This window comes from Homo sapiens, chromosome 8 (genome assembly GCF_000001405.40).
Source record: "Homo sapiens chromosome 8, GRCh38.p14 Primary Assembly".
Classification (NCBI taxonomy): Eukaryota; Metazoa; Chordata; class Mammalia; order Primates; family Hominidae; genus Homo; species Homo sapiens.
The window spans coordinates 142,562,607-142,587,081 of NC_000008.11; the positions used below are offsets into that span (position 1 = coordinate 142,562,607).

At 60.7% G+C, this 24,475-nt stretch overlaps 1 pseudogene, besides 4 other annotated features; it reads right to left on the reverse strand.

Annotated features, from left to right (window-relative positions):
• Positions 3,641–4,141: an enhancer, noted in NCBI's record as "H3K4me1 hESC enhancer chr8:143647608-143648108 (GRCh37/hg19 assembly coordinates)". NCBI's record gives its function as "activates a minimal SCP1, AML or CMV promoter by ChIP-STARR-seq in naive H9 embryonic stem cells {active_cell/tissue: H9 hESC(naive)}" and the evidence as "EXISTENCE:reporter gene assay evidence [ECO:0000049][PMID:30033119]".
• On the reverse strand, positions 4,654–12,856 carry MROH4P (maestro heat like repeat family member 4, pseudogene; annotated as a pseudogene).
• Positions 9,104–9,767: an enhancer, noted in NCBI's record as "H3K4me1 hESC enhancer chr8:143653071-143653734 (GRCh37/hg19 assembly coordinates)". NCBI's record gives its function as "activates a minimal SCP1, AML or CMV promoter by ChIP-STARR-seq in naive H9 embryonic stem cells {active_cell/tissue: H9 hESC(naive)}" and the evidence as "EXISTENCE:reporter gene assay evidence [ECO:0000049][PMID:30033119]".
• Positions 12,174–12,719: an enhancer, noted in NCBI's record as "H3K4me1 hESC enhancer chr8:143656141-143656686 (GRCh37/hg19 assembly coordinates)". NCBI's record gives its function as "activates a minimal SCP1, AML or CMV promoter by ChIP-STARR-seq in naive and primed H9 embryonic stem cells {active_cell/tissue: H9 hESC(naive and primed)}" and the evidence as "EXISTENCE:reporter gene assay evidence [ECO:0000049][PMID:30033119]".
• Positions 23,193–23,875: an enhancer, noted in NCBI's record as "H3K4me1 hESC enhancer chr8:143667160-143667842 (GRCh37/hg19 assembly coordinates)". NCBI's record gives its function as "activates a minimal SCP1, AML or CMV promoter by ChIP-STARR-seq in naive H9 embryonic stem cells {active_cell/tissue: H9 hESC(naive)}" and the evidence as "EXISTENCE:reporter gene assay evidence [ECO:0000049][PMID:30033119]".

The window sequence follows — 24,475 nt, forward strand, 5'->3', positions numbered from 1 at the left end:
TGTGTGGCAGGGGTAGGTGCAGCATGAACAGAACTTAGGAAGCTGGCCTCAAGCTGCCTTCTCATTGCCATCTCTAGCAGTCTGCCCACCTCCCAGGCTTTTGGCCCAGGAGACAGGATCAGCCACAGTTGTGAAACCTCGTTCCACCCTCTTCTGGCTTCCATGGTTGCTATTCTTGATTCCACTGCTGGTTTGTTATTGCTAGGGGGTTTGTGTCTGTCTCAGCCTGCAGAAAAAGATGTTTTCTTCAGGGGTGATAACCATGGTCAAGCCCCACAGGAGGGTTTAGGGTTTCAGTTTCCACCGCCAGCATTTAGTGGGGACCCCAGAGCTGGGGAGTTAATGCAGAAATTCATTCCGTATCAGCAGCAAACACAAAGACCCTGGCACACATAGCCTTGAGCCCAATGCCAGGGCTTCACGAAGAAGCCCACGATATGCAAGAGAAGCCCATGATATGCAGGAGAAGCCCACGACACGCAGGAGAAGCCGATGACACACAGGAGAAGCCCACGATATGCAGGAGAAGCCCACGACATGCAGAAGCCCACCACACACAGGAGAAGCCCACAATACGCAGGAGAAGCCCACCACACACAGGAGAAGCCCACGACATGCAGGAGAAGCCGACAACATGCAGGAGAAGCCCATGATATGCAGGAGAAGCCCACGATATGCAGAAGCCCACCACACACACAGGAGAAGCCCACGATACGCAGGAGAAGCCGACGACATGCAGGAGAGGCCCATGATATGCAGGAGAGGCCCACGATATGCAGGAGAAGCCGACGACACACAGGAGAAGCCAACGACACACAGGAGAAACCAACGACACGCAGGAGAAGCCCATGATATGCAGGAGAAGCCCACGATATGCAGAAGCCCACCACACACACAGGAGAAGCCCATGATACGCAGGAGAAGCCGACGACATGCAGGAGAGGCCCATGATATGCAGGAGAAGCCCACGATACGCAGGAGAAGCCCATGATGCGCAGGAGAAGCCCACAACACGCAGGAGAAGCTGATGACATGCAGGAGAGGCCCACGATATGCAGGAGAAGCCCATGATATGCAGGAGAGGCCCAAGATATGCAGGAGAAGCCGACGACATGCAGGAGAAGCCCAAGATACGCAGGAGAAGCCCACGACACGCAGGAGAAGCCCATGATACACAGGAGAAGCCGACGACACGCAGGAGAAGCCGACGACACGCAGGAGAAACCCACGACACGCAGGAGAAGCCAACGACACGCAGGAGAAGCCCATGATATGCAGGAGAAGCCGACGACACGCAGGAGAAGCCCACGACATGCAGGAGAGGCCCATGATATGCAGGAGAAGCCCACGACATGCAGGAGAAGCTGACGACATGCAGGAGAAGCCCACGACAGGCAGGAGAGGCCCACGATATGCAGGAGAAGCCGATGACATGCAGGAGAAGCCCACGATATGCAGGAGAAGCCCATGATACGCAGGAGAAGCCCACAATACACAGGAGAAGCCAATGACATGCAGGAGAAGCCGACGACACGCAGGAGAAACCGACGACATGCAGGAGAAGCCCACGATATGCAGGAGAAGCCGACGACACGCAGGAGAGGCCCATGACACGCAGGAGAAGCCCACGACATGCAGGAGAAGCCCACGATACGCAGGAGAAGCCCATGATACACAGGAGAAGCCCACGATACGCAGCAGCAACGTGAGCAGGTGAGAAGCCACCATGAGCAAGAGACAGAAAGCACAGCCAACGGCAAGGCCAGACCCTGAGAATGTCCCAGAGGTGAGCCATGCAGAGGAGATGACAAGGTGTTTTTTAAATGGTTACATTTGTGGGAAACAGGAACTCCTAAGAAGAAGGCAAGACACTGCAGAGAAGGAACAGGCGCACCTGGAACAGAGTGCAGGAGACAAAGCGAAGACCATCGCTGTTGTGACAAAGTCGGCGGATGTTTTAACAGCCAATGAGGGATAGAGAAAGAATGAACTGGGAGATAAATCAATGCACCATCGAGACATAAAAGAGACAGAAAATGTGAAACCGGGGTTAAGACACATGGACCGGAATGGGGTGAGAAGGTCACTCACAGCAAACATGTGAGATCTTTGTGCCCCTCATGTGCTTTTTGTTTTTTGGCTTTTTTTACCTCTCCAAGTTCAGCTGTTTTTCCTGGTGTGTGAAAATGGATGTGAGCCCCCTGAATACCTTCCTCTGCTGGTGGGTCCTGGGGTGTGGTCAGAAGACAGCAGTGAGACGCACCGAAGGAGGGAGCCCCTCTGCTCCGTGGGCTGTAGGATCTCCAGGGCCAGGCTCCTGCAGGGAGGCCACTGCCCCAGCGCTCAGCTCCTGTGGAGCATGGGGCCAGCCACGGGAAGGGGCAGCTGTGCCCGAACCCCCGGGGCGGTTTGGTAAGGGAGTATCACCCGTGCGACACCTCCCTGTGAGCAACTTCTCCTGCATCTCAGAGGGCTCGTGTCCAGCAGTCTCTGCACCCACTGGCTTCTCTGCTGCAGGAGCGAGCTGCCCAGGAGGGGAGGTCTGCTGTGAGCACTTGCCTCAGCCCAGGGAGGGGCTCTTCCGCCTTACATGGCAGGACACCCGCTAGTGTTCTATAGACGTGTCATTCCTGCCGCTGCTGCATTCTTCAGAGCTCTCTGTACTTCTTACTAGCCAGCCCCTTCTAACTCCCATTCCCCGTGGCACTGAATCATTCTTCATATTACACTTCCCTGCTCAAACTGCTGTGTGGTGCCCATCTCAGGAACAGGCTCCGAGGGATACAGAATACTCAAGTCCTGATTGTGCTCTAGCGGTCAAGTGCAGCAGCTCTTGGGCTCCCAAGGTCAATGTTTCCGCTGTCACTGTCACCAGCCAGGGGTGACAGCCTGAGGACAGACGGCACCATGGCATGCAGTGGGCAACCAGCATCCCATTCCCATGTCAGGGAGCTCGGCGCCACACTCACATCATAAGGCACAGCCCCTCCCAGCCCCGAGCCTGTCACTGCTGATCTATCTCCTGGACACCTCCCAGTACCAATACAATTCCACAGAGCAAGGAGGAAGTTCTCAACAAGATCCCACCCGGGTGCAGTGGCTCACGCTTCTAATCCCAGCACTTTGGGAGGCCAAGGCAGGAGGGTCACCTGAGCTCAGGAGTTCGAGACCAGCCTGGCCAACATTGCAAAACTCTGTCTCCACAAAAAGTACAAAAATTATCTGGGTGTTGTGGCAGGCCCCTGGGGTCCCAGCTACTCGGGAGGCTGAGGCAAGAGGATTGCTTGAGCCCAGGAGTTCCAGGGTGCAGTGAGCTAGGATTGTGCCTGTGGATGGCCACTGCACTCCAGCCTGGGCAGAGAGAGAGAGACACTGTCTCAAAAAGAAAAAAAGGCCCCAAAGCACGAAGCACAGAAAAGGAATACATTTGGCTCCATTAAAACCAAAAACTTCCGTCCAACCAGAAACACCATAAACAAGGTCAAAGGACAGGTCACTGTGCAAAAATATTTGCAATGCCAATAGTTGGCTAAGGATGCAGGAACGGCATAGAAAGAATTCTCACACTTTTCCAAGTGAAACACAGACAACCTCATATAGGACGCGGGGAGGATCTGCGCAGGTGGCTTGCAGCCGAGGGGCCCTGCCCGGCCAGCTCTGGCTCTCTGGCTTTCAGGGTTCCCTGTAGAAGCCAGATGTATCTCTTCCTGGGAACCTTTGCTCCATCAGATTCCCGCCCTCCCCTACCTTTGAGAATTACATCCCCACCCTCTCAGGAAATGTTTGTTCCTTTCCCCACATCCAGCCCCAGCCTCTGCTTCTTCCAGGAAGTTTTCCCTGATTGCTCCTGTCCAGAGAAACATGGCCTCCTTTGACCTCTAACTGCTCACCTCTGCCACTGCAGTTGGGGGGCAGCCTCAGGACCTTCCCCCTGGGATTTCCTCTCCCTCTGCATTCAAGCTGGTAGTGGCTCTTCCCTTCAAACCCTGGCAGGAAGGAGGCGGCAGGGTCAAGGATGCAGACAACAGGAAACCTTTCAGCTTTCGGGCTCCTCCCCAGCCCTTTGGGAGCCTGGTGGGGTTTTCAGGCAGAGGAATTCTGCCAGCAGCTGGAGTGAGGCAGGGCCCGCAGCCAGCGCTGGGCACCCAGTGCCCAAATGCAGGGACCCCGTGTGGGCTGAGATCAGTACGGGTGGAGATCAGGCCTGCTGGGCCCACTGGCGACCTTGGCCCTGCTGAAGAGCCTGGCGCTGCTGCCCTGGCAGCCTGGCCAAGGCCGGGGGTCTGTTTTCCCCACTTGTAGGACAGAATGAGAGATGCAGTCAGAGATGAAATTGGCAGCTGGAAAACAGGGGAGTGGTGTTTCTCGCTCGCCCCCGCCCCCTTCATCTGCCTCTTGCAGGGGTGTGCTCCTGGCCAGAGAGCTGGGCCAGCAGGATCTGTGGGGTGGGCTTCTAGGGGCTGAGGGCCCTCCTCAGGTCGGCCCTGGGACTTGAGGCCCGCAAGGCTCCCCTCACCGTGTCCACTGCCGCCCGGACCCTCCAGCAGCTGCTCCATCCTCACATGGACACCCCTCAGGGTGCTGGGCAACCGCACACAGCCCTCCCCTCCTCCCTGGCCCCGCTTGTCCTCCTCCGAGAGGGCGCCCACATCTTACCATGAAGATAAAAATGTGGTTCTCGGCGCCCAGCCTGTGGCCCCATGCCAACTTGCTAAACAGCTCCTTCCGGAACTTCCGCTTCAGCAAGATGGCTCAGCGTAGGAAGGTGAGCGTGGTCTTCTGTGGGTGCACAGCAGAAAGATAGGTCACCCCAGGAGGTCCGGGCTCCCCTCCCCATCACCATGCCCCTCCCTCGAAGAGCCCAGGGGCCTCCGCAGCCCTGCTGTCCCTGGCCGCACAGTCTGCTGGTGCCCCGGAGGGGCTGGCCTGCCAGAGGGAGAGGAGGTCTGACAGCACTGTGTCCACCTCAGTCCCCATGGGTGTCCTGCGGTAACTCTCACCAAGCTCCCAGGGAGGCCAGTGGTCACCCTGGCTGCCCAGGCCTCCTTCTTGACCCGAGGGCCTCTCTCGAGGACCAGAGGGATGAGGGACAGGGGTGCAAGGGAGGGCCAGAGGCCACCAGCACCCACAGCCACCAGCCCAGGCTCAGGCCTCCCTTAGAAAAACCCCTGCTGTGGGCTGAACTCTGGCCACCAGATTCACATGCTGAAGCTCTGAACCCTGGAACTGAGCTATCGGGGGCCACTGTGATTGGAGACAGGGTCTTTAAAGAGGTGATTAAGGGCCAGGTGCAGTGACTCTTGCCTGTAATCCCAGCACTTTGGGAGGCTGAGGTGGGCGGATCACTCAAGGTCAGGAGTTCGAGACCAGCCTGGCCAACATGGTGAAACACTAAAAACACAAAAAAATTAGCTGGGCTTGGTGTGCAAGTAGTCCCAGCTACTCGGGAAGCTGAGGCAGGAGAATCACTTGAACTTAGGAGGTGGAGGTTACAGTGAGCTGAGATTGCGCCACTGCACTCCAGCCTGGGCAACAGAGGGACATCCTGTCTCAAAAACAAAAACAAACAAACAAACAAAACAAAAAGAAGTGACTAAGGTAAAATGAGATCATTAAGGTGGGCCGCAGTCCAGGATTCCTGGTGTCCTTCTAAGAGGAAGAGAGTAGGGTACAGGCACACAGAGGGACGGCCTTGTGAGGACTCGGGGAGAGGGCACCCGTCCGCAAGCCAAGGAGAGAGGCCCCAGGAGGAGGTAGCCCTGTTGACGCCTCATCGCGAACTCATGAGCTTCAGAACTCAGAGACAATGCATTTCTGCTGTTTTGCCACCCAGCCCACAGGTGGCCCTGGCAATCCACGCAGTCCCCATCCCAGGCCTGGCTTCCCTGCCCCTTGCTGAGCTGGGAGGACTTGGTCCATCTGGTTTTCATTCTCCAAAGCCCTTAGCCTCCTGAGTCCATCTGCCAGGGCCCCTGCCTGGTACTCTGGGGCTCACACATCTGTCCCCATAGTACTGTGCTCCTCATGGGGAGGGGCCGCCTCCTTTCCACACCCACAATGAGGGCCCCACTCACAGCAGGTGCTTGACAAATCCATGGATATCAACAGAACAAGGGGGACTTTCTGCTCCCCCGCTAGGCCTCAGCCTCACCTTCCTGCCCTTGCCCATCTGCTCAGAGAATGCAGTGGACCTCGGCCTCCAGGTAACTTTTTAACTGCAGCTTCTGAGGTCTGGATAGGGGTCAGCCTCCCCCAACAAGTATCCTGGTGACCTCAGCCTTCTCTTCCTTCTGAACATATGGCTGCATCCCTCACTTTCCCATTTGGTTACATCCTCCTCAGTCTGTATCCGACAGCCCCCAGACACCTCTGCGAAAGGCAGCAGCTCCCTGCCCCACACGGGATCCAGCTCCGGAAGGCAGCAACTATCTCCCACCTGGGACCCTACCTGGGGCCACTCCCGGCTCTCAGACCCCACCTGGGGCCGCTCCCGGCCCTCCAACTCCCCAGGGTCCAGTCAGTCCCTGGCGGCTGTGGGCTCACGACACCCTCATGCAGCTGCCCTGCCCTGGGTCAGCCCTCCACCCTGCACTCCTCACCTCCCCTAAGTGATTCAAAGTCCCCATCCATTCTCACCTGGTCGACCCAGGGGTCTTTCTAAACCCCAGCCCACTCGCCCTCCCAGCTGGAGGACCTATCCCTTGGCCCCCAGCGTTCCTCTACAGTGGGAGTGCATGAGCCCCGCGGGCAGAAACCCCCTTCCCTCCCATGGTCCTCGCCCGGCAGCTCCACCAGCCCGTGGGCAGCTCTGGCTTCTTCCAGGGGTGGGCTTGGGTGAGGCCATTTAAGCACCCTGCTGGCAGGGGTCCCCCTCAGCCGGGACAGCCAGGGGTCAGAGGGCCTGAGGTCCCCTGGGGCCCACCCACCACCCCTGCCCATGGCAGGCCTGCTCACGTCCTCGACCAAGGGCAGCAGGTGCTGGGCCATCATGACGCTGATGGCACCGAGGCCCTGGGTGCCCAGGCGGTGAAGAATGTCACCCAGGATCTCCATCAGGCCTGTGAGGTCCTCGGGCTCAGTCTTCAGGAAGCTGTCCAGCAGCCCCATCAGCTGGACCTGGAGCAAGACCACCTGCGGGGAGACCTGGCCCTACACGTGGGACCCCTGCCCAGCTGCTCTGTGCAGGAAACTTCCCCAAGCTTCCCCTAATGGGGCGGCTCCCTGGCTGCCGGCCACAGGGCTCTTCTGATTCCCAGGGGGCTCTGAGCTTCCTGAGTGGGGAATGTATCTGCTCTGCCCCAAGCCCAGCGCATAGCGACTGCCTCTGAAGTGGCTGAGTGGGCAGAGGGCGGACGATTGAGCCCCTGGCAGAGGTTGGCTGCAGGCCACTCCCTGCCTCCTTTCACACCACTTAACAGAGGGAAGAAAAGCCTGGGGACCTCAGCCCCAGCTGAACCACAGCCCCAGTGGGAGGCTGCTGATGCGGGGTTCCTTCCCACCCGCAAAGGAGGCCGGAGGCGCTGACCTCAGCTCAGAGATTCTGGGCTCCCCAGCCCTGTGCAGTGCCACAGGGGCTCCCAAACACTGCTGCCCTCCCCACCCATTCCTTCCAATGCGATGCCTGCAGCAGAGACTTCCTGGCACCAGCTCCTCCCCGTTTCCTAGGATGGAAGTGGGTGCCCTCCTGGAGCACTCCCGTCTCCTCTCACCTTCTTGGGGTGCATTAAGGCACTGCTGAGGCCCCTCAGGCTCCTGACCCTCACCAGCTGGCTGGGATGATTCAGGCCCATGCTCAGGAAGTTGTTCACGGTTTTCCGAGACGCCCACTGGGAGACCTCCGGGCTGTTGAGAAACTGAGATCAGCACAGTTAGCCCACCAGTCAATGACAGCAGCCAGGGAGAGTCAGCCTGTACACCACGGGAGACAGAGGGTGAGACACAGGAGGCCCTCGAGACAGCCATCAAGTGTTGCATGTGGAAGGCAGGAGTTAGCGTGCCTTTATAAAAAAATGTGTTTTGAGACAGGGTCTTACTCTCCCCAAGCTGGAGTGCAGTGGTGCAATCACAGCTCGCTGCAGCCTCGACCTCCTGGGCTCAAGACATCCTTCTACCTCAGCCTCCCAAATACCTGGGACTATAGGCGTGCACCACCACGCCCAGTTATGCATGTACCTATGTGTATGTATACGCATGTGTGCATGCATGTGCTGTGTATGTATGCGTGTGTGCATGTATGTACACATGCATGTGTGTGTGTATGTACGTAGAGAAGAGGTCTCCCTTTGTTGCCCAGGCTGGTCTCGCACTCCTGGGCTCAAGCAATCCTCCTGCCTCAGCCTCCCGAGGTGCTAGGATGCCAGGAATGAGCCACTGCACCCGGTGGGTGCCTTTATGTTGGAGGACGGGAATGGATGGCTGGTTCTCTGACATGCTTCTGAAGGGGCAGAGGGCAGTGAGAAGCAGAGGTGAACTGGGCTGGGGAGGTGGACCTCTGTGATGATGAGGATGGCCACGACGCTGTCCCGCTCCTCGGTGCTCTGAAGAGCAATGGCTGCCTGCCCCAAGACCGCCTTGACCTCACAGTTGTAGGGGACCATGGCCCTGTCAGATGGAAGGGAAGGTGCAGGGCTCCTGCAGGCCCCATTCTCGGGCCATGCCTGGGGCAGAGGGATGGACTCCTGACACCCCACACTCCTGGCTGACTTCGGTACTTAGGGAGCGGGCCCAGGAGACTGAGTCTGGGTGCAGGGTCCCAGTGTGAGGTGGGGTGCAGGCAGGAGCCCATCAGGGTGCTGTCTGGGCCCCAGGCATGGGGCTAACCTGGCCAAGAGGGCCACCCACCCTGCATAGGTTTCCAGCACTGGAAGAGCTCCCAGCCCTTCCGCAGCTTGAGGTAGGCGAACACCTCCCAGCAGCCCTTGGTCCAGAAGACGACCTTCAGGGCTTCCAGGCACGTCCTGGGAGACGAGGTCAGGGAGGGGGTCACTCTCCACCTGGGGCCAGGGGTGCTGTCAACCCTGGGCTCCCCTCGCTTGGGGTCCTCTCCTGGCCAAGATTGAGACTCAGTCCCCCGCTCCCCCACAGGCCCACAGGTGGGACCGGAGTGCATTCTTTCCTGGGTTCCCAGCCCTTATCCCAGGGTCTCCCGAATGTGTGGGAGGAGCCAGGAGCAGGGGCAAGGCGTGGGGCTGGGCACAGGTCCCACCTGCGGGGTGTCCAGGGCTCCATGTCCAGGATGTCTTCCTGGTACTCCGCCACGCCCTCCACCATGCCCAGCTCAAACAGGTAATGCAGCTGTGTCAGCAGCCCCAGCAGGACCCCTGCAAAGGCCCAGTGGACTGTGGGCTTGTCCTCCTGGGTGTAGAGCAGCTCATAAATGGTGTCCAGGGCCTACAGCGGGCGACAGAGCAAAGCCTAGATGAGGACCCGCGAGAGTAAGAGCTGGGAGCAGAGCCGCACGGCCTCTCTGCCCCCGGCCCCTGCAGCCCACGGTTGGCCCCATCCTGGGGTCAGCATCAAGAGCCCTTGGTGATTTCTGGCTGGACCTGGGCTGGCTCCTGCTTCCCCTTCCTGCAGTAGCCCTGTGGCAGGGCCAGGAGAGGCAGGCACGGCGAGAGGCAGGACCGGGAGTGCCCGTGCAGGGTCCTCATCTCATGGCTTTGCCTCAAGCTCCAAGCCCCTCCTGGCCCCACACACCACCTGCCTCCCTCTCCCTGGCTCAGCTCCACCAGCTGGTGACCTTTGGCCTGGCCCTCACCCCAGCTCTCCAGGTGTCCTTCCCAGCGTCTGGGGTGTTCTGCCCAGACCACCTGCTCTTGCTGGAGACCACCCCAGGCTTGCTGGCCTGTCCTGGACCCTGGTTTCTGGTGTCCACCACCAGCTCACAAGGCTGACCCCCAACACCCTTTCTGCAGGGTTGGGCTGAGAACAGCTGCTGAGCCCTGCCCCTGGCACTTCCTCTGAATGATTCTCTCACCAGTTCTGTGGCCAATGAGCCCCCTGCCTGCGGTGTCCCTGGATGCAGTGCAGCCTTCTCTGGCCCCTCCCCTCGCCCCAGAGTCCTCTATATTTTTCTTTATTTTTCTTTTTTTTGAGACATAGTCTCGCCCTGTCACCCAGGCTGGAGTACAGTGGTGTGATCTCAGCTCACTGCAACCTCTACCTCCCTGGTTCAAGCAACTCTCCTGCCTCAGCCTCCAGAGTAGCTGGGATTACAGGCGTGTACCACCACGCTCTACTGATTTTTGTATTTTTAGTAGAGACGGGGTTTCACTATGTTGGCCAGGCTGGTCTCAAAACCCTGACCTCAAGTGATCTGCCTGTCTTGGCCTCCCAAAGTGATGGGATTACAGGCGTGAGCCACTGCGCCTGGCCAGAGTCCTCTTTTTAAAGGGCAGAGCTAAGGGAGTCCCTCTTAAGTGGAGCCTTCTGTGGCCTCTTGCATGGGGCTCAGGTGCTGGCCATGGCCCCGGCTCTGTGCAGTCAGGCCCAGCTTGCCCCTTGTGCCAGCCTGGCCACAGATGCCCTTGCCCTGTGTCCACCCTCACTGCCGCTCCCCAGGCCTCCCTTTGGCCTCCCACCAGGCCCAGCCCTGGGGCCTTATTGTTCTGATGACCACGGGGCCACACAGTGCGTGATTGCCAGTGAATGAGTCCCTGAGGGCAGCCTGGGCCGCTGCTGTCCCCAGTGTGCTCTGGAGGCTGCTTGTTATGACAGTGGGGGCTTGACCTTCCCTCTGGCGGGATGCAGAGAGACAGCTGCTGACGGTGGCCAAGGTTGACCCCTCAGTGAACACACCAGGCACCTGGCACATCCCTGGTGTGTGCAGGGGCAGGAGTCACGGTGAGCAGTGACATGGTGCCCACCTCCACAGGTGACAACAGCCCCCCACAGGTGACAACAGGCCCCTGCAGGTGCAGCCCCAGGCCATGAGGAGGGCCCAGGGCTATGGGCACTTGGTGGCACTGGTAAGGGTCACCCTGGCATCTCGTAGGCCCCTGAATGACAATGCCATTGCAGAGGGGGACTGGGGTAGGGACGCAGGGTGAGTGTGTCTCGGGGACACGGGTGCCACTCACCAGCAGGGAGATGAGCTGGGCCTGGGGGTTGGGGCTGATGAGCTCCTGGGGGGGCCGCAGTTTCAGCTTCATGTAGAGCAGGGTGATCACCTTGCGGGCCAGCTGGAGGTTGGCAGCCAGGGCCTTCCACAGGGGAAGGGTCCATCTGGGGAGACAGGGGTGGGTGGCCCCAATGCCTCACGGGTCATGAGAGGGACCTGCGGGGGCAAGGCCTTCAGTGCACTCTGAGTGGTGGCTCCCAAACAGGCCTCGGGGTGGCCGTGTGTGAGAGCAGAGACGGCTGGGTCTCTGCACGCAACATAGGACACACATGCACAACAAACATCCCCCTCCCACACAGGAGCCTTACCACCCACGCCTCACGCTGTGCACCCCGCACCCCTCCCCAGGCGCCCAGGCAGCTGCAGCGGCCGTGCTCTTGGTGTTTCCCATGCAGTGTTTGGATGTGGGAGCGCTTGACTTGTTGCCTTTTAAAGCAAAGGGCACGCCCACCTCCCTAGGCCCAGGGCTGTGCGGAGAGGGGGCCCCACCACCCTCTGCCTTCTGCCCTGGCCTTGTTAGGCCTCACCCCAGCCCCAACAGCCAGGGCGGCCGGACCCAGAGCGGCAGGTGATGCTGGGGTGACCTGGGGCTCGGGGAGCAGCACGTGGGGTGGGCTCCGCCTGGTCTCATCCCCCACCTGAGCCCTGCATCCCCTTGTAAGCGCTGCCTCGGGAGTCAGTGCTGGATTGGGTGAGGTGACTGCAAGGGGCCTGTCTCCTAAGCTGCTCCCTGAGTGTGCGGCCCCCGGCCTCCGCTGCCTTTCTCTGCCTTTCGGTCCCTGCTGTGCGGGGGACTCACGTGGGGGCTGGATGAGAAGTAGTACACCATCCTGGAGGCAACGTTGTCCACCCAGGGCAGGATCTTCTCCTTGGCATGCAGGGCCATCTGTCCATAGCACAGCAGGGTGGTGCTGCTGACCCATCTCCTGTGCAGATCAAGGCCTGGCTGTGGGGGACGGGCAGTGGGAGCTGGGCCTTCGGGGGACTCTGCTCTCGGCTCGCCCCTGACACCAACACAGCTCCCACCCCTTCCACGGTGGAGAAAGCTTCAAGCCCTGCGCACAGGGTCAGGACAAATGCCAGCCGTGTCCACACCCTGCGTCGGACCATGTTCCCGGGACTCGTGCCAGTCCCCTCCTCCAGGAAGCCCCTCTATTTGTGGGCCCTCGGGGAACCCCGTGCATGCCCGGGCAGCACCTCCTCCTTCCAGTGTCTCTTGTTCTCTCCCAGCGAGGCCCCAGGGTAGGGACGGCCAAGACAATGAAGTTGCTCCACATGTCCTCCCGGCTCAGGTGCGCAGCTGAGGACACTGAGGCCCAGCCACACACACCACCTGGGGCCAGGGCAGGCCCCATGGCCCTGGTCCTCAGCCCAAGTGCAGCTCCAGACCGAACTTTGGGGTCCCAAGACTCGCCTCTGTGGCCAAGGCAAGTACAGAGATGCTTTCGCCATGATCCAGCCTGGGTCCCCCACACCAGCCCTTCAGGGAGGACAGCGGGGCCAGAAATCCCTTGTGTCATCAATGAGCAGACCGAGGCTCAGAGACACAGGTGACGTTCCCCAGGCCCAGGGGCCAAGGCCTGCGCCCTCCCTGCCACGTCGCCCTGTTTGGCATCAGCCTCATGCTCAGGGCCTCTCTACCTGGCTGTCTGAGGACGGGAGGGCCAACCTCCAGCAGGGCCCACACCTCCTCCAGATGCGAGGTGGACGTCCATCCCACAGCAATCGCAATGCCCTGCGGACTGGGGACCCGGGGGTGCTTTGGGCTGGTCCTCAAGAGACAGTGAAGACACTCCCAGCCCTCCCTGGGGGCCGCAGCTTGCACTGGGCAGGGGGTCCCATTCCCCCCAGCAGGGACCCCTCTGCCAAGGTGGGCCCAGGACACACGCAGCCTGGCAGGTCTCGGTTCCTGCCCATCAGCACCTGACAAGACACTCCAGTGCCTCGAGGATCACACAGGATCGTGAAGTGAGGGACAGGGGCCTGGGATCAGCAGGGGCCCGGGATCAGCAGGGGCCCATCTGAGGCAGGGCCAGAGCTGTGCTGACCAGAGGGTCCCCAGGGTGCTAACACCCACCTCCCTTTGGTTGGAGGACTGGTGGGGCATCTCCAGGAGGCAGCCCATGTGCTTCCGCACCAGCTCCACGCCAGCGCAGTCTCGAAGGACCAGCCTGTACAAGTGGAAGGGGAAGTTCTGGGCGGGACGCCAAGGGAAAGGGGATGCTGCTGCTGGGTCCAGCCTGCCTCTCTGAGCGGCACTCACAGGTCCGTCTGCAGAGCCACCCAGGCTGGAGGGAAGCAGGTGCTGGGCCCCTACCCCCGCCCCATGGCTGCCTGCTGCTCCGTGGGGGCTGCTCCAGGACTTCAAGCCTGGTGACTCCTGCAGGAGGTGTCTACACTGGCGCCTGAGTCTGGGGCCGGGGGAGCTGCCTTAGAACACAGAGCCCAGGACTGGGTGGGCCTTGCTCCTTGTGGGTCCCAAGCACATACCCCAGCCCGCTGAGTGCTGCCGTACACCCTGCCTGCCACGCGGGCCATGCTGTGCACAGGGCCCTGGCCATGCTGGACTCCCAGCCTGGGGACCTCAGACGCCCTGGGCAGAACTCTCACTGCAGGGACGCTGCCTGCTCCCCTCCCCTCTGCACCCCCAGAGCCTGCCCGTGGGTGCAGGAGCCACAGAGCGGCAGGTCTCATGTCCATCCACCACCTTCCAGATCCAGAGGGCTTGGAGTCCCTGCAGTCACTTTGGGAGGGGAGGGAACTGACAGCCCTTCCACACCTGGGCACCAGCCTTCTCTGAAGCCTGCTGGGAGTCTAGGCTCAAGAGCTGCAGAAGCTCCTGGATGCCACTGTCCTCGGTGTCTGAGGCCTGCTCCTTCCCGGCCAGCTATGGCAGAACAAGGTGCCCAGGGCATGGACTCCCTGCCCCCAGCCCTCCTGCCAGGGACAGGAGGACAGGGCCCAGAGTGGACAGAACAGAGATGGTCCCACCAGGACCCATGGGCAGGTGGAGAACACAGTCTACTCTCAAAGGGTGGAAGGAAAGGGTCGGGTTGAGGCCCCACCCACAGCTGGGGGCTCAGGCTCAAGTGTGATTCTGGCCACAGGCTCCTCTGCTTAAGACCCCACCACCCCAAAGACCTTACCCTTAGGACAGAGGCCAAACCCTTAACAGGGCAGCCTGCAAGCCTGGATGCCCTGGCCCTGCCCCCGTGCCTGGGAGTGCCCCCGCCCTTCTGTGATGCCTCATGCTGGCCCCAGGGCCTTTGCACAGCCTGTCCCCGCCACCTGGGCAACTTTCTCTCCCACCTCTTGTACCTTCATTGGCAGTCGGCCCCAATGCCCTACTGTGTGTCCCCCTTTGTAAGCACTCAGGCCCTGCTGGGGTGTCTCCACCTGCCTGTCTACCAGGCCCTGGCCCCCAAATAACCCGTCTCTCAGAGTGAAGGAGGCTGACAGCAGCCCTGAGAGGTGAGGGGCATGCGGAGGCTGCACGTGAATCAGGCCGCAGCAGGAATGCAGAGGCAAGAGGCCAGGACGGCCCCTGAACCCCGGGACCCTCAACAAGCCCTGGCAGTGGTCCAGGCCCTTAGCAAGTCTAGAGGATGGCCCCCCAAAGAGGGCTGGGGCACACAGAACAAGGGGGTCCTGCTGCCCCCACTCCCAGGCCTGGTGTGAGAACAAGCCTAGGAGGCTGAGCTGGTGCCCTGGGGACGCCTCAGGCCCTCCCCGTCCTGCAGGTCAAGAGCAGACAGACCAGGGCTGGGCTCAGAGTGGCTGCAGCCTGGGCCGCCCCCTGCCCTTTTCCTCGCAGGGAGCAGCAGTGTCGGTCCTGACTTCCTCACCACTTCTGCACCTTCCAGCGGGAAAGTCAGGGGCTTTAGGGATGGCCGGGGCTTGTGGGAGCCGAGGTGACAAGGGAGTGATGGCAGCTGAGCTTGGGAGGCGTGGGCTCCGGGCTTGACAAGGCCACCAGCTGCCCAGTGAGTCCTGCAGAGGCCCCCCGGAGCCCCATGGCTCTGTACATGTCAGGGCCACAGAGGGTGCAGAGCGTGGCTGGGGATCCTACCTGGCTGTGTTCCACCAGCTGGTTTAGGATGGTCTCCAGCACCTGGCTCTGCTCCATGACCTCCATGGCCCTGATCCTGCTGGTGAGCTCTTCCTCCCTGGGGAGGCACTCACCCAAGGACACTCCCACGAGCCCTGGGTCTGGGCGATCTGCGGGGACCAGGAGGCAGAGAGGCACCCCTTGCCCTGCCTGCCAGCCTGTGGCCTCCTGCCCCCTGCAAGCCTGGGACCCTTGTGGGTGCTGGGAGCTCACAGGAAAGTCTGGGCTGCTCTAGAGGCTCCAGACAGCCCATAACTGCTGTCTTTAAAATGCACATGGAGGAAAAGGGTGTGAAAGTAGCTAAGAAGCTGGAAGCACCAAATGCAGAGGCCCAATCACCCCTGCAGGGCCGGGACACACCGCAGAGTTCCAGTGGTGGCTCAGGGCCTGGACCAGGTGCAGACCCACACCCAGAGCCTGAAACGAACACCTGATGTGCAGGACGACGGACAGGGCCAAAGTAACCGCTGAGCATCTGGAACCAAACTTTACCTGCATCCTGCCCTATTCCCACCAGACTACATTCCAAACGAAAACTGAACACAGAGGAGATGTGGGTTTCATCACCCCAGTTTCAGGGTAGACGGGGGTTTCTAAACATGAAACGGAGGCAGCCCTAAAGGACACACCTTCACAGTTAGCAACGTAGACCACAATTCACCCAAAAAGCCCACCTCACAGACAGCTGAGGAAACCGTCACCACACCCGGAACAAGGGGTGAGGGCCGGAGGGGACAGGCCTCGCACCCCAACCCGCACCAGGCTATGGCCATGGTCAGAGGCTTCCAGAAGAGGAAGCCCGACTGGCCAAGAATTAAATTAAAAGATGGTCCACCCCACCAGTAATGAAAGAAATGCAGGTTAAGGCAACAAGGAAGTGTGATTTCTCCACTGTCAGCAAGACAAAGACAAGGAGTGAGAGGAAGCCATCCTCACGCCCCAGGGCTGGCCACTCCTCCTCTTTGCAAAATCAGTGAGTGACAAACAGGACTCCATGTGGAAATTGAAGAGTCTATTTGACGCTGCACAGATGATATGATTCCTGTTTCATGAACAGAACGAGGCCGGAAGCTTGGCTGTGAAGGCAAGTGTGAATTGTCAATTTGACAAACGCTTTTGCAAAGATGACCAATGCTTCTGTAATCAGAAAAGAAATGGTAAAGCTGCCTGCCAGGGTCCTGCTGGAAATAGGGATGACGTCAGAGAGAGCCTCAAACCGTCAGCGTTGGCCACCGCCTTGCACTGCGCCCATGCTTGGAGCCCCGAGCCCCAGGCCAGGCCCTGCCCGCCCGCTCAGCCCTGCTCGCCATGCTCCCGCCCTTGCTGCTGGGGCGGCCGGCAGGGAGCCCACCTGAGGCGCAGAGGGAGGCCATTGCCGGGCGCTGCCACCATGAGGAGTCCCGAGTCCTGGGGAGACAGGTCCTGTGCAGGGAACAGAGGGACGTGTCACTCACGCCTGCCGGGGCCAGAGCTCGACTCCGAGGGACCCCCAGTCACCCCAGTCCTCACCCGGTCTCCTCGCCACGGTAGGTCGCCCCCACCTGTACCAGGGCCCTAAACACCGCTGGTCACTGCAGCATGGGAGGGCTCTCTGTGGGACCTGGGAAGGAGGGAGGAGGAGGCTGCCACACTGGGCCTAGCCTTTGAGCCCCACTTGCTGGGACTCCTCAGAGGCCCCTGGGGATCCCCTGGGTCCCATGCCTGTCCACCCAGCCTCCCACCCAGCTCAGGGTCTCAGTCCGCACAGCAGGGGCAGTGCTGCATTGGTACGTAGTCCTGCCTCCTTCCCAGTACTGGGAGCTCAGCTGCAGCTCAGGCAGCCTTGGGACAGCAGAGCCAGGCCAGAGCCTCCCGGGCTGGGCGGACGGCCGCACGTCTGAGAAGCCAGCCGGGCTGCACCTGCCTCTGAGGGCCTCTCTACCACCCCCCCAATCTGCCCTCTCCCTTGGAGGTCTGCAGGGCCTGGCACCTTCCTCTCCTCGACCCTGAGCCCCTCCCTGGACTGCCACCCTTAGACCCAGCTTGGAGACATTAGGGGGTCATCTGGGGATCTTGTTAAAATGCACCCTGGGGTTCAGCATGTCTGATCTGGGCCAGAACCTGCGTTTCATGCAAGCTTCCAGGTGGCCCCTGAGCCCAGATGGAGGAGGCCTGGTGCCCACCCTGGCCCCCTAGCCCCAGGCTGATGAGCCAAGGGGCTCCACCCCAGAGGGCCCTCTACCCGAGACCCTCCAAGACCCCCGTTCCTTGCTGCCCAGCCACACAGTGGCCCAGAGACTCAGCCCCAGCACCTACCCTGCCCCACTGCTGTCGAGGGAAGGTCCCCCAGACCCTACAGCCCCGTCTACTGCCGACTCCCCTTGCCCTGTGGCCAGCCCAGCCCACTCCCACCACTGCCAGGCCATAAGGCCATCTTTTCAGTTCTTTAAAAGAAGGCACCTAGGACACCCGCCCCCACCACCCCCACGCCATGGAACCTCGGCACAAACTTCCCGTCCTCTTGCCTGGGATCATGCAGCCCTCCCCCCTCATGGTTAAACATGCTCGCTTCTGCCCTGCCCTCCTGACACACAGGCTAACCGAAGAAGCACCTGCGAAGAAAGGTCTGTTAGCTACATGTAAGGTTTAAAGGTTAGGAAGGATTGCAGCCAGCTCCCAGGCGCAAGCGCAGGACACGTCACACCTGCCCAGGGAGGACTCCCAAGGGTGGCCAGGCACCCTCAGGCCCTCTGACCATGGCATGTAGGGTTTGGCTGTGAATCCCACCTCCAGGGAGTGAATCTATAGGAAAAATTAGAAATGCCTAAAAAATTCACTACTTAAGGCTTCTTTCCAGGTTTAAAATAGCCACACATGTTCAAAAATAGAGCAAGAATGGGCACGTTTCTGAAGACTATTTAATGACTGGGACGGCTCAGGATCCAAGTGGAACGAAAAAGTCTCATGATTCTCATTGAAAATTGAATTATCTCTGGGTGCCGGGATTCCGGGTGATTTTTTTTTTTTCTGAATCCTTTTCAAAATTGTCCAACGAGTCTGCAATGAGCATGGATTTACCCTTCTCAGAGAAGAAAATACTTATTTAAAGCCAAAACTGATGTTTTTTTTTTTAAGGCAAGGAAAGGACAAACCAGCAAATACTCCCTTTGGGTTAGGGAGGGCCAGCCGGAGAAGAAGCCGAGGGGCAGCCAGCACAGGTTCCGCCCTGCCCTGGGGTCAGAGGTCTGAGACCCTGGTGGCCCTGGAGTCTGAGGAGAAGATGGGAGGGGTCAGGTCTTCCAGGAGAGGGTGGGAGAGGGTGGGGGCGCTGCCCAGCCAAGGAGGGGCCTCATGAGTGCGGGGAGAGGCGGCTGCTGGGAGCAGGACACCAGGCCCTCTCCTCTCTCAGCCTGGGGCAAACTTGCTGAGTTTTCTGGGAGGAAGCTCCAGAGCGTGGCTGTCCCAACCGAGGGGAATTTAAACTAGGCTGGGCCCAGCCATGGGATGGAGCTGGAGGTGCCAAGAGGCTGGCCCCTGAGCTCACAGTCATCCTGGGTCTCCCCGCTTGTCCCAGAAGCTTTGCTAGGGAGACTGATCAGCCCCGGCCGTGAGTGACTGCCCCGTCTGCCCGTCCACCCGCAAACAGCAGAAGCTTTGCTAGGGAGACTGATCAGCCCCAGCCGTGGGTGACCGCCCCGTCTGCCCGTCCGTGAGTGACCGCCCCGTCTGCCCGTCCGTGGGTGACCGCCCCGTCTGCCCGTCCGTGGGTGACCGCCCCGTCTGCCCATCCACCCCAAAACAGAAATTGCTTGCTAGGCTCCTAGACGTCATCCGACCAAGGAGAAGGGACCAGGCGGCAGGCAGGGGAGCGCCTCGACCGCGTTACTCTCCCTTGATGGCAGCAGAAAGGGAGGCATTCTCAGGGTGCGTGTGTACCACTGAGCCCCCAGAGGCCTCTTCTGCACAGCGGCTGCTGCGGAGGTGTTGGGAAGGGATTCCCGAGGTGAGGTTTGGTTCTCAGCTGCAGGGGACAGACTTCCAGGTGCCCTGAGGGATCTTAGAACTGGACCAGGCTACCCAGCAGCCCCCACAGGTGAGCCCAGCAACTGCCACCGTGCAGGGTTGGGGGTGATACCTTCCCACAGGTATCCACCCCAGACCCAGCGAGCCACTGTCTGCAGAGTCAGCAAGATTGCTTCCCGAGAAAGCCTGTCCAGCAGCCAAGGGCTTACAAGGGACCAGTTCTCAACAGTCTGGAGGTTGAGGGGAACTTCACCCAAAGGATTCTGGCCTCAACTGACTCTGCAGGCAGCTGAGGGAATTCCTGAGCACACGTGGCCCTGAGGCTGAGAAGGAGGAAGCTCTGGAAACAGGAAGCCGCAGTACCCTGACCCAGGCAGGGGCCCTGAGACAGTGGAGCCCACAGTTGGCCTGAGGAAGGGTCCCCTAGGAGGGGCCACTGACCAGGGCTCTGGGGAGGGGCTTCCCTTCCTAGAAACCCTCACCAGCCCCTAACCATCCCCAGGAAGAGGCTGGAGGGCTCCAAGAACACCACGGATGGGGTGGTCGCCTTAGCTCATGCTATGGGTTTGGGCTCACTGTCATTTGGGATCGTGCGTGTCCTCCCTCGAGTCCATGAGTCAGCCCCACTGCCTGAGATTGCGGTCCAGGATTGACCTGAAGAATGGAACCAGTCCAGAGGCGGGGGATGCGGCTGCCCTCGGGCTCATGACTGACGGCCCAGGCATCTTCAGAGGGGCTTTCCTGGGATTACAAGCCCCCAGCAGAGACAGCTAGGGCGTGGCTAAACCCACTGCCATGTCAGGAAACTTAGCAGTAAAGCCTTCTCCCACTCCCCACAATGGGACACGCTGGTGACAGCAGCCTCGGTCCTGGGCAGGCTGGAGAAGGACGTGGCCCCTCAGTCCTGCTGGAGGCCTCGGGAATGACCCCCGCCTAGGACACAGCCAGCTCCACTATGGGGTCACCCTGAGTCTTCTTTAGGAGACTCTTAAGAGATAACATCCCTGAGGAAACTCTGTCCAGTAATAGAGTTTTGTTTTGTTTTGTTTTTAATTTTTTAAAGAGCTGTCCTCTGAGAGACGCTTGTCATCACCACCAACCCTGGGGAGCTGGGAAAGTTCCTAAGAGAATATCCCAGCTTCATAACTGCTGCAGTGGGGAGCTCCCTGAGCCACAGCCATAGCCTTTCTCAGGGGCGTGTGTGAGGCTGGGGGACAGAAGGGAGTGGAGACGCGGCTCCAGGCTCCAGGTGGCTGTGGAGGGGTGTGTAGAGGGTGTGGTCCCCAGGGTTTCTCCCCCCATGCCAACAGCTGCCCCTGGAGAGATAGGCCCAGGGCTCTGAAGAGAACTGGGGGCCTGGGACCTGGGCCACTGGGCTGAGGCCTTGGTCTGGGACCCCGTCTCCAGCCGTGGAAAGTGGTTTTGGCACAGAGCTGGAGGGGTGGTGGCCAGGCCTAGAGACAAGGCTCCTGTGTGTGGCTCGCTGGGCGGCCAGGGGGGATGACCACAGGTGGCCTCCTTCAGCAACTTGGGCCCCAAGCACCCTCCCTGCTGGACAGCCTGGCTTTGGGGACTGTAGGGAGACCCAGGAGCAGGCCTGCTGCCCCCTGCTCCCTGACAGGACCCCTGGGCTCACTCCTTCCCCAGACCTCCGGAGGGAATTTGGGGTGAGGGTGGGATGAGGCAGAAGTGGGGGAGGGACAGAGACCCTGACCCAGGCCCCCGGGCTCCCTAGGGAAACATGAGTTTCCTAGTCCCCACAAACCCTGCAGACAGCAGGGGACCCTCTAGAAGAGAGGCTGGAATTGGCCCAGGGGGACCCAGGGACAGAGGTGACAGGGCCAGGCTTAGGCGGGCAGCCATTGGTCTAACCAGGGTTTACAGGGCCATTCTTAGAGAAGCAGAGCTCAGCGGCACACAGCTTCTCAGGGACCTGGGTGCAGCCGGCCAGGCACAGGGACCAAGGGGTCTGCCAGAGGTGGGGCAGAGCATGGGTGAGAGTCAGGTTCTCTCCGGGAAATACTTCGAGAGGGGCAGGGAGGAGTAGCTGGGGGTGCCATGGGCGTGGAGTGGGGGTGGCGTCATTGACAGGAGCCACGGCCAAGGCCTAGGGGAGGTTTTGTGGAGAAACGGGAGCTGGGAGCAGCAAAGTCAGGACTCTGGGGCGGTGGGCGGGAGGAGCTGCTGCCCTGGGGACCCCGAGGCCTTACGGGGTGAGCACCTCAGGAAAAGCAGGCTGGGGGTCGGGGGCAAGCTCCGCTTTGGCCGGGCTGAGGTCAAGGCACCTGTGAGTGAGTTGGAGTGAGGGGAGGAGCGGCAGGGCCCTGGAGTAGAGTCCAGGGGAGGTCCCAAGCCCAGGGATAAGCTCTGTCATGGGGTGAGAGACAGGGCAGAGACAGACTGGAGGCTGGGAGGCCAGGAGAAGGGCTGGAGTCAGGGACAGGGGTCTATACCCACCCTCCCCCCGCCACCCCACTGGTGTCTGAGAAAGGACTCCCACAGGGTCCCCAGAACTTGGTCTGAGTTCCTCAGTGTGCACTGGTCACTACTAGCATGGACTGGAAAGCCGGGCGTGGAGTACGTGGAGATCCAGACTCCACAAGACGAGGCTGAGCACAGCCACGCCTCCCCTGGGGCGCCCCTCGGCGAGGGACAGGGCCCTGACTGGTGACAGCTTACTTCACAAAGGGGACACCGAGCCTGGAGAGTGGCTGCTCTGCGGAGCCCGTGCAGGACCTGCGGTGGCTGGTCTGTGCCTTTCACCCATGGACGGTGCCCCCCACCATGCCGCCTGAAGTCCACAGAGGGGATGGGGGACCGTGGACCTGGGGCACGGGGTGGCAGAGGCAGCGTGGCGCTTGTGGGTGGGGAAGGGCCCCATCTGGGTGGGACACAGGGTGGGCATGCACAGTCTCCTCCCCCATCTCGGCTGAGCCCTGCTGCAGCCCACGGCTCCCAGAGCAGGCCTGTCACCCGCCGACTCATGCATCCTGCATAGAATAATTGAGTGCCCAGAATGTTCTGTCCTACATTGGCTTGGGAAAGGGAGAAAAAGATGTAACCAAGGTCATCTTCACCCCTGAGGGCTCGAAGCCCAGGAGAGGAGACAGGCTTGTAAAGGGAGAGCCATCCAAAAAGGTCAGTGGAGAAAATCTGGGCAGGCCTCCCAGAGGAAGGGGCTCTGGGTTGGAGCTGAAGGCACAGACAGGAGTTTGCTAAGTGGTGAGGAAGGAAAAGTCTTGCAGCAGAGAGAACGACATTCAAAGGCCCGGAGTGGGACGAGTGCAGCCATTCCGGGGGCAGGAGCGCTGGGCGCGGTGGCCCGGCCTGGGGGACCCACGTGGCTTCTGCAGTGGAGCAGCGAGTCGGTGCCGGTTTGCAGAGCCCTTTAGAAACGCAGGGCTCAGGAGCTAAGGTTTTGTCTTAGGACTGAATGGAGGCTTCACAGCAGTGCAGTCAGGAGAGGAGGCTGACAGGGCCGAGGGGCTGTGCAGGTGGGAGCCTCCCTTCCTTCCGCTGGACTCCACAGGACGCCCTTCCCCTCAGCAGTCACGGTGGCCTCTGCGTGGCCCCCGCTGGGAGACAGCGTGAGGGGTCGCAGCGGCGCCATCAAACTCCAGGTCCTTCCCTTGCATTTCTCAGGTTTCTGCAAGGGGCACGTGGGGGCACGTCCTAAAAACCCACTGCGCCTCCCGTCCCTGCCCACCCAGGCCGCGGCTGCTCCTGTGTCTATCTCTGACTCCCTGGAAGTTCTCCTCCAACCCCACCCCACACACCACCTGCTGTCTCCCTCCCACCTCCTTTCTTCCTGGTTCTGGGTCCCCAAATGCCCCGGAGCTGCGTGGGATAGGAGCCTCGCTGGGGGGAGGCGGGGGCTGGGTGGTGAGGATCGGGGAAGCTGAGCTCTCAGGACTGGGGGCCCCTCCTGCACCCGTCTCCACAGCAGCACCTTCCCGAGCCCGAGGTGGCCAAGCCTTGCGTGTGACTGTGAACCAGTGCCTGCCGCAGGCCCCGCCCTCAACCTCGTCCTCCATCGCGTGCTGTGGGGCCTGGGGAGATGACTGAATGGCTAGGTGCCTCAGTTTCCCCACCTGTAAACCAGTGTCGGCTGCACGTGGTTGTGATGAAGACTGAGTGTCGATATGAAAAGCACTTGGACAAGTCCGGTCACAGGAAAATGCGGTGCTGCGGGAGGGGCCACACTTGGAGGAGCTGGAGTGCTGGGGTGAGGCAGGGAGGGAACGGGCTGGAGGTGGTCATGGGGCCCTGCCCTTAGATGAGCTAACTGGGGAAATGGCTTCTGAGAGGGGGACGTCCGTGTGGAAATGGGAAGAAGCTGGCCGGGTGCAGGTTGCGGGGCAGGCATGAGGGGAGGCAATTCAGGCAGCAAAAGCAGCAGGGTCAAAGGTCAGAGGACGTGGGCCCGTAGCCTCGGAGGAACCGGAGGAGCAGAGCAGAGGCCAGAGGGCCAGAGTGGGTGGCAGGGAGGCTGGCAAGGGAGGTTGTGGCCATTGTCCCAGGACCAGGGGAGCCATCGTGAGCTCTGAACAGGGGAGTGGCACAGCCCGATCTGTCCTTTACTCAATGGTCTCCATTGCCCACATCCCTCCTGCCTTCCTTTGACAAATAGAAAACAACCCCCACCACAGCCAGGCGTGGGGTTGGGTGCCCAGAGGACAGTGGGAGTGGGGGTCGGGGCACAGCAGCCTCAAGGGCTCGCGACCTGGCTGCCCAGATGGGCCTGTTCCCCAGCCCCGAGCTCCTAGGCTATGACAGCTTACCAAGGTTCCGGCCACTTGTCAGATAGCAGAGTCGGCCACGGGGCTCAAGGCTGACTTGTACTTCCCTCTGGCTGCTCGTAGGACGCCCACCCTGAGAATGGACCGCAGTACCAGCCTGCTGTCACCCCACCAACTGGAACCTCACAGAAAAAGCGCATGTCCTGGCCAAGGGTGAGGAGGAGCAAAGGGCTGGGGACCAGGTAGGGAGGAGGAGTCCCCAGGAGTACTGGCCCAGCTACTGGGTGCAGGAAGTCCTGGCAGGCTAGCCAGGACCTACCAACCAAAAGCCCCACCGGGAAGGACCCCACTGGGGCTCAGGAGCTGGATGCCAGGTCACCCGGCAGGCCCCAAGCTCACCAGCCCTCTGAACTCAGGCATCTTGGTCAGGTGGGGACTGTAGCAGTGGAGACGACTGAGTGAGGTGTCCTGTGGGGCACCTGTGTGGCTACACACAGCAGGTGCTGG